The sequence below is a fragment of the Homo sapiens genome, chromosome 15 (genome assembly GCF_000001405.40).
Source record: "Homo sapiens chromosome 15, GRCh38.p14 Primary Assembly".
NCBI lineage: Eukaryota > Metazoa > Chordata > Mammalia > Primates > Hominidae > Homo > Homo sapiens.
In genome coordinates this window covers 56,545,975-56,560,900 of record NC_000015.10, presented here as the reverse complement: position 1 = coordinate 56,560,900, position 14,926 = coordinate 56,545,975, and the positions used below count along the sequence as shown (strand labels likewise).

Here is a 14,926-nt window from a genome sequence, read left to right as displayed (position 1 = left end):
GATTTGACAAACTCTTGGAAAGCATTTTCTGCCTCCTGCTGATTGTGGAAGCGTTTTCTCTGCAAAAAGTTGTCAAGATGCATGAAGAAGTGACAGTTGGTTGGTGAGAGTCAGGTGAATATGGCAGATGAGGGAAAACTTTGTAGTCCAATTTGTTCAACTTTTGAAGCATTGGTTGTATGATGTGCAGTCGGGCATTGTCATGGAGAGGAATTGTGCCATTTCTGTTGACCAGTGCTGGCTGCAGGTGTTTCAGTTTTTGGCACAGTTCATCGATTTGTTGAGTATATTTCTGAGATACAATAGTTTATCTGGGATTCAGAAAGTTGTAGTGGGCCAGGCACAGTGGCTCATGCCTGTAATCCCAGCACTTTGGGAGGCTATGGCGGGTTGATCACTTGAGGTCAGGAGTTCCAGACCAGGCTGACCAACATGGTGAAACCCTGTCTCCACTAAAAATACAAAATTAGCCAGGCATGGTGGCACACATCTGTAATTCCAGCTACTCAGGAGGCTGAGGCTGGAGAACCGCTTGAACCCAGGAGGCGGAGGTTGCAATGAGCTGAGATCATGCCATTGCACTCCAACCTAGGCAACAAGAGCAAAACTCCGTCTCAAAGAAAAAAAAAAGAAAGAAATGGGAAGAAAGAAAGAAGGAAGGAAGGAAGGAAAGAAAGAAAGAGAAAGAAAACTGAACAGAGTGGCAGCAGACCACCAAACAGTGACCATGACCTTTTTTGGTGCAAGTTTGGCTTTGGGAAATGATATGGAGCTTCTTCTCAGTTCAGCCACTGAACTGGTTGTCATCAGTTGTCATAGGAAGCACACTTTTTGTCACACATCACAGTCTGATCAAGAAATGATTCATTGTTGTTGCATAGAATAAGAGAGGACAACATTTCAAAATGACAAATTTTTAAAAATTTTCCCTCAGCTCATGAGGCACCCACTTATCAAGCTTTTTCACCTTTCCAATTTGCTTCTAATGCCAGATGATCATAGAATGGTCAACATCGATTTCTTTGGCAACTTCTTGTGTAGTTGTAAGAGGATCAGCTTTGGTAATTGCTCTCAATTGGTACTTGTCAACTTCCGATGGCTGGCCACTATGCTCCTCATCTTTAAGGCTCTTGTCTCCTTTGCAAAACTTATTGAACCACCACTGCACTGTACAGTTCATTAGCAGTTCCTGGGCCCAGTGCTGTTGATATTGTGGGTTGTCTCTGCTGCTTTATGACACATTTTGAACTTGAATAAAAAAATCACTTGAATTTCCTTTTGTCTAACATCACTTCTATAGTCTAAAATAAATATAAAATAAAGAGCAAGTAGTAACTCATGAGCACAAAAATGTAAAGTAAGAAATACACATTAAAATGATATATAACGTAACCACATTTATTTAAGAATGTGTTCCAGTATCAAACGGACAATTTCAACAATGCAAAAATGACTATTTACATATTCAGGGAGGTTAAGGAAGGCAAAGGTATTTTTTTTAAATGACAGAATTACATAAGTTTTTGGAATCAATTATTCTTGGCTACAAGGACCAATAATAAGGGTGACACTAGTTTCATATTGGACAGTCAGTTACTGGGTATATGTCTTGTAAAAGAATTTTTTGTGTGTAAGGTTGCAGTGGCTTTTGTGCAAGTTTGTGATTTTTGCAGACTTTCGTAAAAGTTCTTATCAGGGATTTGTGCGTAAGAACCCTCCCTTTGTGGCCTTCTCTGCCTCCATTTGTCAGGATTTTAAACATGAGTGACTCCATTTTTAATCTTGCAACTTTCACATATGCAAATGATAACCAAAAGAGAGCAGGCATGGATACAATTATTTACGATAAAATAGACTTTCAGACAAAAGCTGTAACAAAGGAAAAAGGAGATTATATAATGATGAAAGGGTCAATTCAATAGGAAGATATAACAAATATAGGTGTCTGACATCAGAATGCCTAAATATATAAAGCAAATACTGACAGATCTGGAAAGGGAAGTAGACAGTAATACAATAATAGCGTAGACATTAATACTCCACTTTCAATAACGGATGTTGGAGCCGGATAGATTATCATAAAGAAGATGTCGACTTTAACAATACTAAAGACCAACTGTTCTTAATAGACATACAGAACATTCCATCTAATAAGAGAGTACAGATTCTTCTCAAGTGCATATGGAACATTCTTCAGGATAAATCAGAATATGTCACAAAATAAGTCTTAATGTAAGAAGATAGAAATAATTCCAAGTATTTTTTCTAAGCATCATAGGTTGAAACTAGGAAACAATAACAAAAGAAAAAGGGAAATTCACACTTCATGCACGTTAAACAACACACTCTTGAACAACCACTGGGTCAAAGAAAAAAATCAAAAGGAAAATTTAGTAATATCTCAAGGCAAAGGAAAACAAAAACACAGCACACCCAAACTTATGAGATACACAAAAGCAGTACTAAGAGGAAAGTTGATCCCTAATAAACAACCTAATATTATATTTCAAGGAACTAAAAAAAAATTAATCAAGTTCAAAGGAAAGAAGGAAGGAAATAATAAAGATTAGAGCAGAAAAGAATATAATAGTGAAGAGACAAACAATACAAAAATTGTCAAAACTAAGAATTGATTTTGAACAGATAAATATTGACAAGCCCTTAGCTAGACTAACAAATAAAAAAAAGAGAAAAGATGAAAATAAAATCAGAAATGAAAGAGAAGATATTTCTGGATGTGACAGAAACAAAATAATTTAAGAGATTTAAGGGACTATTACGAACCATTATATGAGAACTAAATTGGACAAATTAGAAAATTATGAATAAATACTTACAAACAAAATACCTACCAAAATGCAATCAGGAAGAAATAGGTAACCAGAACAGACCAATAACAAATAAAGAGATTTAATCAGTAATCAAAAACACCCCCAATGAAAACAAGCACAGCACCAGATGGCTTCACAGCTGAATTCTACCAAATACTTAAAGAATGAATACCAATCCTTTGTGAACTCTTCCAAAAAATAGAAGAGTAAACACTTCCAAACTAATTTTATGAGGCCAGCATTAATGTGATACTAAAGCCAGTCAAAGACATCACAAGGAAAAAACCACAGGCCAATTTCCCTGATGAACATAGATGCAAAAGACCCAAAAATATTAGAAAACTAATTCAACAGTACATTGAAAGGATCATACAGCATGACTAAGTGGTATTTATTCCTAGAATGCAAGGATGGTTAACATACACAAATCAATCAATGTAATATACCACATTGTGATATACCATTAACAAAATAGAAGATAAAAAATCACATGATCATCTCAGAAGGTACAGAAAATTTTTTTTGACAAAATTCAACACTCCTTCATGTTAAAAAGTTTCAACAAATTAGATACAGAAAGAAACTTACCTGAACAAAGAAGGCCATATACAAAAATCCCACAGCTAATATCATACTCATTGGTAAAAAACTAAGAACATTTTCTTCTAAGATCCTGAACAAGGCAAGGATGCCCACTCTTGCTGCTTATGTTCAACATAGTTGTAGAAGTCCTAGCCAAAGCAATCAGGAAGTAGAAAGTTATAAAATGCATCCAAATTGGAAAGGAAGAAATTATGAACTGGTGGAAGACGTGACTTTTTATGTAGAAAAGCCTAAGATTATACCAAACGCTAAACCCAAAATTGTGAGAAATCACAAATGAATTTAGTAAAAGTTCCATGATACAAAATCAACATACAAAAATTAGTTGCATTTCTATATATGAACAATAAATGGTCTGAAAAGGATTAAGAAAACAATCCCATTTAATAAGCTAAAATACTTAGGAACAAACTTTCAAGGAGACGAAAGACTTGTATACTGAAAACCATAAAACCTTGAGGAAAATAATTAAAGCAAACAAATAAATGAAAAGATATCACCTGTTCATAGATTGGAGGAATTCATATTGTTAAAATATTCATACTACTCAAAGCAATATAATGCAATCCCTATCAAAATCCCAATGACATTTTTTTACAAAAATACAAAAAAGTTCCAAAATTCTATGGAACCACAGTAAGTAGTAAGTAGTCAAACCTATTTTGAGCAAAGAGAACAAAGTTGGAGGCATCACACTTCCTGATTTCACAATACATTGTAAAGCTATAGTATTCAAAACAAGATAGTACTGACATAAAAATGCACGTATGTCTTAGGCCATTGGAACATAATAGAACAGAAATAAACCCTTACATGTACAGTCAACTGATCTCCCACAAAGATGCCAAAAATATACAATGGATAAAGGATAGTCCTTTCAATAAATTATGCTGAGAAAACTAGATGTCTACATACAAAAGAATGAAATTGGAACTTCATATTACACAATACAGAAAAATTTACGAATAATGGAGTAAAGACTTAAATGTAAGACCTGAAACTGTAAAACTGCTAGAAGAAAACATAGGGAAAAAAACTTATTGACGTTTGCTTTGGTAATGATTTCATGGATAAAACAACCAAAAGCACAGGCAACAAAATAAAAAAAATAAGCAGGATTACATCAAACAAAAGAGCTTCTGCACAACAAAGAAAAAAAAATCCACAAAAGGAAAAGGCAGTCTATGAAATGGGGGAAAATATTTGCAAATCATGTATTTGATAAATGGTTAATATCCAAAATATATATAGAATTCCTATAACTCAATAGCAAAAAAAAGCCCCACAAATAACCCAATTTAAAAACGGGCAAAGGAACTGAACAGACATTCCTCCAAGAAGATATACAAATTGCTAGCAAATATATGAAAATGTGTTCAACATCACTACTTACCAGAAAAATGCAAATCAAAACCACAATGAGATATCATCTTACACTTATTATGATGGCTGTTAGCAAAGAAACAAAAGATCACAAATGTTGGTAAAAATGTGGAGAGAAAGGAAACATTGTACACTATCGGTGGGAATGTAAACTTGTATAGCCATTATGAAAAACAATAGTTTCCTCAAAAATTAAAAAAAGAATTACTATTTGATCCAGCAATCTCACTTATGGGTGTATATCCAAACAATTGAAGTCAGAATCTGAATAAATATCCACAATCCCATGTTCATTGCAGCATTATCATAACAGCCAAAATATGAAAGCAACCTAAATGTCCATGGATGGATAAAGGACAAAGAAAAAGTGGTAATGTACATACAATGGAATATTACTCAGCCTTTATAAAAGAGTAAAATCCTGCCATTTGAAACAAAATGGATGAACCTGGACATTATACCAAATAAGCCAGACACAGAGGACAAATACTACATGATCCCACTTATATGAACAATCTAAAACAGTCATAGAAACAGAGAAGAATGGTGGTTTCTGGGGGCTGGGGAAAGAGGAATATGGGGAAGTATTGGTCAAAGGGTACAAAGCGTCACTTATGCAAGATGTAAGTCCTAGAGATCTAGTAAAACAAAACCAATAGGAGTAAGTGTATTTTATATATATGTACACACACACATATAAAACAAAACCAATATATTACACTTGTATTGTGTGTGTGTATATATATACACCACACACACTTGTGTGTATATATATATACACTACACACACTTGTGTGTATATATATACACACACACATATGAGAAACAAAAAATATATAATTTATATATACATTATATATCTTAAATATGCAATTGGCTCATGTGATTATGAAGGCAACAATCTACAGTCTATGAGCTGGAAACCCAGGAGCTGATGATATAGTTCAGTCCAGTCTAACTACAAAGGAACAAGAACCAGGAAAGCTGATGGTATAATTTTTAATCTGGGTCCTGAAACCAACATAATAGTCCTGTGGACTGTTCTTTTAGATAAACATATAAACTGACTTTTCTGGTCTTAAAGCTTGAAACTTTTTGTTTTATCTGAGTTCCTTCCTCAGGAAAGGACCTTCAGGCCTCTCAAAAAAAAAAAAAAAAAAAAAAGTGTCAAAGAACTGAAACTAACCAGATCACCACATCCAGACTATCATACTTTGGACCCCTCATTCATCATGATTGCTTCCTTGCCCCTCCCTAGTTCCTGTTTTCTTACACAGTGTTACATTTCTTCCCTGCTATATAAACCCCTGGTTTTAGTTGGTCAGGGAGATGGATTTGAGACTAAGCTCCTATCTCTTTGGCTACAGCACTGGATTAAAGCCTTCTTCTTTGGCAATACTTGTTGTCTCAGTGATTGGCTTTCTGTGCGATGAGCTGCAGGACCTAGACCAAACCCCTGGTGTTTCAGTAACAGTCCAAGTTCAAAGTCTGAGGCAAAGATTGATGTCACAGCTTGAAAACTGGCAGAGAGAAAGATTCCTTTCTTACTCAGCCTTTTATTCTATTTATGACTTCAATGGATTGGATGAGGCTCACCCACATTGGGGAGGACAATCTAGTTTACTCAGTCTACTGATCAAATATTATTCTCATCCAGAAATACCCGTACAGACAACGCCAGAAATAAGGTTTAACTGAGTATCTTGGCACCTTGTGGCCCAGTCAAGTTCACACATAAAATTAACCACTATAACTGGTTCTTACCTGCAGCCAAGACTGAGAACCACTGCTCTGGGTACTGGAAAGAATGGCATTTAAAGCCTGGAACTTTATTCAAAGAATTAACAGTAATCTAAATGTTCAGGTGCTTCTCACAATAAGTAGACATCCAAGGTTAAAGAATGGCTAAATAAGTCAGACTGGGACAGATAAATTGGAGGAAATGGTATTTCAGCAAAAGTTTGTTTTACATAGATCTAGAAACATACTCACTTTTTCCATAACTCTCCATACAAGGGGGCAGATTCTAAACACAAAAGTAGGAGTTTTTATCTCTTTTAAGCAACAAACTACTTTAACATTCTAATGCAAGTTTGTTGCATTGAACTAAAAAGATGACTTTAATTTTCCATGATAATTAGAAAACTTGCCATTCATTTACTAAATATTTAAAAACTTTTCAGTATGTCTCCTCTTGTGCTCTTATAAACCTTTTATGAGTTGGGTAAAAATCAGTGTAGGATTCATGAATAAGTAAGTACAAAGTCTGGATTGATGCAAATTCAGTGATCATCACTATTTGGTTTTGTCATTTGGCAGCAGGGATAATCTTAACATCTAAACATAATTATCATTGAATTTGTGATACTTTATTCTACAACCCCAAATTTCACAATACGGAATTTGAATTTGTTTATCCTCTGGCAGTATTAATATAGGAGTCAAAGCCAAACTGTGGAGTATGAATCCCCTTTCCTCTTGGCAAAGTGTAGTTGCATTCTCTCTTTAGGGAAGCATCTTTTCCACAGTAATTGGGAAAAGGCACATGAAGAAATGAGAAAGGCATATGATCTTATCTCAGTCAAGGGCCTTGCTGGCTTTGTTCTGGTTACAATCAAGTTTCACAAACCCAGTCAACACTCCAGGCAGGACAGAAAACAATCTCAGAAGAAACAAACCCATGAGTTCTGAATTCTATTTCCTTATTCTGTGTGACTTTGTTAACATTGGGAATGTTATCAAAGCTCTCTGAGCCTCTGTATATTAATTTATTTAATAGGAAATGATAATATATACTTCATAGGCTTGTCATAAATATTAAATGACACAACCTGTTTAAAATCAATAGCACAGCTTTAGAGATGTATTCAATAGATGCTGGTTCCCTGTGTCTACTAGTTTTCTATACCACTTGTCCTCTTCTTCTGGTAAAATGTACCTGGACTTCACTTATCTATCTAAACCTCTAGTTCAGATAATGCAACGTAATAATCTGAGGCTGAGGCAGATCTCAAATGAAAAGAAGAAAATAATCCAAGTGAAATTTCAATATTTGATGGAAGTGAACCTGAGGTGTACAGTGAGTCCAGTCAAATGGAAAAATCTTTAGAATCCTAGTAATGTGAGCATACCAAAATGACTTCTTCAAATTGGATTGTCAGCGTATTGCATCAGTTCTAGAGGTACTGGGAGAGAAAGATTTCCTTGATAAGTAACTGAAGCTAATTTGCAAATATTCTTAAAGGCCATATGACCCAATCACCTGATTTGGATTTATCCTTTCTGCCTATTCTCCTTATCTGGGATCCAATCACATGAGTGTGTTTAAATTTGACTATGATAACCATTCCCTACAGATATCTACTGCCATGAGGGTTTTCTGATTTCAGTCTATGCTTCCCACATTGGTAACTGGGTAGTATTATCTAAAACAAAATCAAAACCCAAAAACTTGTGCAACAGTTTAAATTCATGCCTTTATCTCACTTTCTCCCACAACTCTATTAAAATTATAGTAAAGGGATAAAATGACAATAGATGGATGTGCCCCTTCCTAATCAAAACCCCTTCCCACCTCTGCAAAGGTAATCGCTATACTGACTTTTACAAAAAATTGTGTTACATAAAATTTACCATCTTTATCATTTTAAAGTGTACAGTTCAGTAGTAAGTTCATTCACATTGTGGTACAACCAATCTCCAGAATACTTTTCACTTGCAAAACTGAAAAATTATACCCACTAATGGCAAGTACCCATTCATCCTTCCCTCCAGCCCCTGGTAACCACCATTGTACTAATCTAAATATCTCACATACGTGGAATCATAGAATACTTGTCCTCTTTTTTACTGGCTTATTTCACTTAGCATAATGTCCTCAAGGTTTATCTATGTTGTAGCAAGTGTCAGAATTTTACTCTTTTTTAAGGCTGAATAATATTCTATTTTATTTACATAAGATATTTTGTTTATTTGTTCATCTGTTGATGGACACTTGAGTTGCTTCCACCTTTTGGCTATTGCAAATAATGGTGCTATGAACATAAGTGTACAAATATCTTTCTGAGACTCTTCTTTCAATATTGGAGGGTATATACACAGAAGCAAGATTACTAGATTATACGGTAGTTCTATTTTTTTAAGTTTCTGAGGAATCATCATATTGTTTCCCACTGTAGCCACACCATTTTACATTCTTATCAACAAGGCACAAGTGTTCCAATTTCTCCAAGTCCTCTCCAGCACTAGTAATTTTCTATTTTTTTGATAATAGTCATCCTTTGGGTGAGAGGTGTTATCAGTTGATTTTGATTTGCATTTCTCTAATAACTCGTGATGTTGAATGTCTTTCTATGTGTTTCTTTGCCATTTGTATATTTCTTTGAGAAATGTCTACTCAAGTCCCTTGTCCATTTTTTAATTGCCTGGGGTTTTTTGAGTTGTTGTTAGGTTGTAGAAGTTCTTTATATATTCTGGATACTAACCCCTTATTAGATATATACTTTGCAAATATTTTCTCCCATTCTGTAGGTTGTCTTTTCATTGTTGATTGTGTCCTTTGATGCACAGCAGTTTTAAATTTTGATGTAGTACAGTTTGTCTATTTTTACTTTTTTTGCCTGTGCTTTTGTTGTTACAGCAGCTTTACTTGTAATAGACTAAAACTGGAAACAATCCAAATGTCTTTCAACAGCTGAATGGATAAATATATCGTGGTATATCCAAACAATGGAATATTACCCAGCAATAAAATAAAATAAACTTTTGATACATGCAGCATTATGGTTGGATCTCAATATAATTAATCTGACAAACTTCAGACAAACTTAAAATTCTAGAAATGCACATTAATCTGTAGTCATAGATGGTCAGATGGCTTCACAGCTGCATTTCAATGCTTATCAAATGCTATGCCTTAAACATGTGCAGCTCATTGCTTGTCAAATTACAACTCAAAAAAATGTTAGAAAGAATTATCTCTTTGGTATTTCCACAGAATTTTGTTTTAAATCTCTATTACAGTGTTACCTTTGAAGTTAGAAACTTTAGAGTTAGAAGGCCTGGGATGGAGTCCCATTTCCATTAATTATTAAGCATGTGACTTTAGGGAAGTTAAAATCAGTTTTGTCATCTATAAAATGGATATAACTAAAGTGCTTCTCTCAGAATATTGTTCAGACGATTGAATGTATCAACTTGGCACATTGCCTATCAACTGGTGAGTGCTCAAAAATATCCATTGCTGTGATCAGTAATGCCACAGGGTGACCATTTAAGGACAGAGTCCATGTTTTATCCATCCTTATGTTCCTACTATGTTACTGTTGAACAAAGTACACTCTCAATTACAGCTACATAGGAGGAATAAATTCCGGTGTTCCGTACCACCATAAGATGACTGTAGCACACAATAATATATTATATAGTTTAAAATATCTAGAAGGAGAATATTGAATATTCCCAACACAAAGAAGTGATAAATGTTTGAGATATGAATATGGTAATTACCCTAATCTGATCTCTATATATTATATCATTGAAACATCACAATGTACCTACAAATATGTACAATTATTACTTGTCATTTAAAAAAATAAAAAATTGAGTAGGTTAAACTGGCTTATTATTGCAAACTGCCAGAGTATATTTAGCCATTCCTTGGCATTTGATCATTTGGAGCATTTTCAGTTAGTTTTTTTAATGTTCAGACATACACAGCTATAATATGTTGGCACAGTAATCATACAAACCCTCTCTTCCCCCATTTCAACTTACTTCTTGGGATATATTCTCAGGAATATTATTATCAGAAAGAGCATGATGAAAATATTGGATCGTGGTGGCTATTTTATTTTGTCTAGGATGTTTTCCCATTTCCTGTCTTCTTGTTCACCTCCCTTTTCTTCAGGAAATGCACAAGGAGGAGTGTGGTCCAGGGAGTGGTCATTTATAGTGCTCACCTTCACTGGATGGGCTCCTCATTCTCCTGTATTCCTCTGGGAAATGACTGATTTGTCAGTGTTGGGGGAAGGACATGTGACCTGAGTCTGTCCAATCAGTGTCCATGTTGGAGAGGGAAAGATTCAGTCCTCTGTTTCTCTTGGATCTTGAGATATAGGATGCAGGCCTTAGATGGTCAACAGCTCAGTCTTCAATGGTGTGAGCTACTCTAGGGTCCTTCAAAATTACAGAGGAATGCAATTTTTACTTACTTCAGAAAGTCTTGAACAATATGATTGGTTTTGTGATGTTTTTCTCTAAATCTTACTCAATTTGCTGTCCTGAAAGATTACTCATTTGCAATGTCACTAGCAGGGGATGAGTCAACCGACATCCCCATTGCCCCACATACATGGTTTTAGAATTTTTAAATTGCCTTTACTAATTTAATACGTATGAGGGTCATCTAAGTTTAGAATTCTGGACCTATGTATACATGTGCTATGTTATATATATATATATATATATATGAAAGAAATACATCAGCTTATCTTAACCGTTCATCATTAAAATGGTTGGAAAAAAAAGAATTCTGGACCTATAGCCCATCTTGTCACATATTGCTTTTCTCAGACTCCTTCAGAAATGCAACACAGAGGACTCTAGCCCAACGCATAATCTACACTCCAAACTGAAGTTTCTCCTTCAAACTTTGTCTGCTTTACCATCCTGATGAGCTTGCCTTCACATTAACTCAATGACCCATGTTGCCCTGTTCACCGAAATCCTGAAACCAACACTGAGGTAGTCCTGGAGCCTGGCTGTGGCTCTGCCCAACTTTCCTGAGCCACCTCCACTCCTTGCTACTACTGGTCACAGTGGAGAGATACACAGAGGACAACAGGCAAGGAAAAAAGAGAGCTGAAGATTATCATTATTTCCTCACTCTTTTCATCAAAGATATTATCTCCTGGTCCTGAAATAGTAGTGAGTGAAGCATTGTTATTACATAGCTACCATTTATTAGTGCTTATTAGGAGCTGGATCTTATGTTTTTTATTTTATTTTATTTTTTGAGATGGAGTCTCGTTCTATCACCTAGGCTGGAATGCAGTGGTGCCATCTCGGCTGACTGCAGCCTCCGACTCCCAGGTTCAAGTGATTCTCCTGCCTCAGCCTCCAGAGCAGCTGGGATTACAGGCACCCGCCACCCTGCCAGGCTAACTTTTGTATTTTTAGTAGAGATGGGGTTTCACCATATTGGCCAGGCTGGTCTGGAACTCCTAACCTCAGGTGATCTGCCCACCTCAGCCTCCCAAAGTGCTGGGATTACAGGCATGAGCCACCATGCCCAGCCGGGTCTTATGTTTAAATACAGTCATTTTAACCCTCATAACAATTCCAGGTTGGTGTTGCTATCCTAGTGAACGGATAATGAAACTAAGTTTAGGGGAGGTTAAACTTCACATGTTAGTAAAGAACAGAGCCAAGATTTGACCCCAGATACCTGACCTTCCTGACACGAAGCATGATGCTTTGCAGAGACAGCCCCATTCTAAGGCAGGATGCTTGGCAGTGGCCCTCTCCCCGTGACAGATACAGAAAGGTGATAGACACTTTACAAACATGCTTCTTAAGAAGAAAAATACTACGGTCACCAAAAATAAATAAATTATATACACAGCTTTGGGATCAAGGTAACTATCTTGAATGCCTTTTGTTGCTGCAGGGAAATCGATCAAAAGAAAAGGAACGCATCCATGCACGTGATCTTAATAGATTTTAAATGATCCTTGAGACACCAAATGCTACACCAAAATGCTTCCAAGCTCTAAAGTGACTAGTGAAATTATTTTGCGCAGACAATTTAAAATGTTAGTTATATTTCTATTCCAAATGTGCTACATTTGTAATTTATGATATGTTGTGATCCTTTGTATTAGCAATATATGTATAAAACTTAATTTGGAACTCGGAGTCTAAGTTTTCTGTTTTAGGATACAGTGGAGGGCAGTAGTTGTATATTTTGTCAGGCACACAAATACCCAATTATAAACTTTTTCCTAAGTCAAAATATTAATGCTATATTAAAATTTCTAGTATCTTATATAATAATACCCCATTTGTCCCTTTCAGCTGCTCCTTGACACCCTCCTGAGATACCAGACAATAAAAAATGTAGATTTTAAAAAGTAACCATCACCTTATGCTTTATAATAAGCCACAATTTTGTGCTGTTCTTATTCTATTAAAGACAATCGCTACAATATATAAACATGGTTAGGTAAGTGACAAAAATTCAATGGTTTCTAATTACTGTGAAAAACTTGGATTAGTTTTTCTTCCAAGATTAAGTGTCAGACTTCTCTAAATCTTTTAAAAATATATACATTATTCTCTGTTCTTGTTTCCATCATTTCGCTTGAGATTTTTCAGAGCACTTTTGCTGTCAGTCTTTTGCCATTTTAAAATAAGACCTTTCACTACCTGTATCCAGTGTCAAAAAGTCCCTGGGTATAACTCCTATTAATAATTGAGAGTCCTGGTGGCTTTCTTTCTCTGCTTTTTAGTATTCAGCTAACTTATCTCTGCCAAAGAGAATTAATAACAAGCTGGCTAGTATACATTTTAAATGAGCTATGCATATTAAAAGGATTATTAAAATGTTACATGAGATATATACTCAAAGGTAGAAACAATCATACATGAAAAGCAAGAACGTTCTAATACTACATTCTATGAATAAACAGGAAAGACATGGCAGAGGTTCACTGGTTTGCTGACACTAACAGCAATGAAGTCAAGAGAAGAGCTGGTACCTCACTAATAATAACCTTAGGGGCCACTCATGAGCAGGTTTGCAAATAACTAACACTTGAGTTACACGACCACCTGGCCTAACCTGAATGATATTGATCCATGTGACATTTAATAACAGTGTAATTATACAGCCTTTTAACCTTTTCAAATGCAGCTCCAATTTGAGATAAGAAAAACGACAAATCTACATATTTTTCCTCTATGATATTTGCATAAAGCTGAATAGTTGTATCTGTGAATAAATATTTATAATGACAGAATAGAATGTTTCATTAGGAACAAGACTGCCATTTTACTGATTCACTTACTTCTGTTGTATATCCATGTCATACCTGTTTTTGCCTTTGTAATTTTACACTTTATTTTAAACTACACATCAAATTTACTCAGGGATTTGACGATCAGCTAGTTTCCTCACTTGCAAAATAAAAGGAGAGTAAGGTAGATTATTTGTATTCAAACTGTTTTTAAGATATTTTTCAACATATGCAAAAGATAAGCTAGAGCTGGTATGGCTGATATGGGATAGATAGGGACTTTCTCCCAGGGAGAATGCTGATTCTCCTTCCCCTCCACCCTGCAAGAGCTCCAGGGAATCTAGTTAAAAACAAAGCAAAGCAAAGATACTTACAAGAACTAAGAAGTAAGGTTAGCAAGGTCACAGAATACAAGATTAATATAGCAATCCAATAATAAAATTAATAAAACGTATTGTTTCACAGTAGTAATATTCAAAAGAATAAAATACTTAGGAATAAAGTTAATGAAACAAGGATAAGACCTTTATACTAAAAACTATAAAACATTATTGAGAGAAATTAAAGACCTAAATAAATAGCGATATATGTGTTCGTGGATTGAAAGAGTTAATATTAAGATGACAGTACTCCCCAAATTAAACAATCAAGTCTATAAAATTCTTATCAAAATCCCAGTAGGTTTTCTGTAGATGTTGACAGACATATCCTAAAATTTAGATTAAAATCTAGATTAAAAAACACCTAAAATAGTTTAAAAGAATTCCAAAGAAAAAGACTGGAGGACTACACTACCTGGTTTCAAAACTTACTATAAAATTCCAGAAATTAACACAGTGTGGCTTTGGCATAAAGATAGATATATAAATTAATGTGAAAACAACAGAATTCAGAAATAAATGCACATATATATATATGGTCAGTTGATTTTTGACAAAGATTCCAAAGCAATTCAATGTAGGGGAAGAACAATCTTTTTTTTTTTTTTAAAAAAAAGCTGGAATAATTACATCTATGTATGTATCTATCAATTTATCTAAAGGAACATAGGCCCTTACCTCACACAATAGACAAAAATTAGCTCTAAATGAA

The 14,926-nt window shown here is 34.9% G+C and overlaps 1 long non-coding RNA gene across 2 annotated transcripts in view; it reads left to right on the top strand.

Annotated features, from left to right (window-relative positions):
- Nucleotides 1–14,926, top strand: part of LOC105370832 (uncharacterized) — a 126,090-nt gene that overhangs the window by 44,696 nt on the left and 66,468 nt on the right. The window contains exons 2-3 of one of the 2 annotated variants that reach the window (XR_002957754.1): nucleotides 11,391–11,744; nucleotides 12,894–13,041. The exons of the other annotated variant lie outside the window; for it this stretch is intronic. This is a non-coding gene — a long non-coding RNA (uncharacterized LOC105370832). The remainder of the gene's footprint in view (nucleotides 1–11,390; nucleotides 11,745–12,893; nucleotides 13,042–14,926) is intronic. 2 annotated transcript variants of the gene reach the window in all.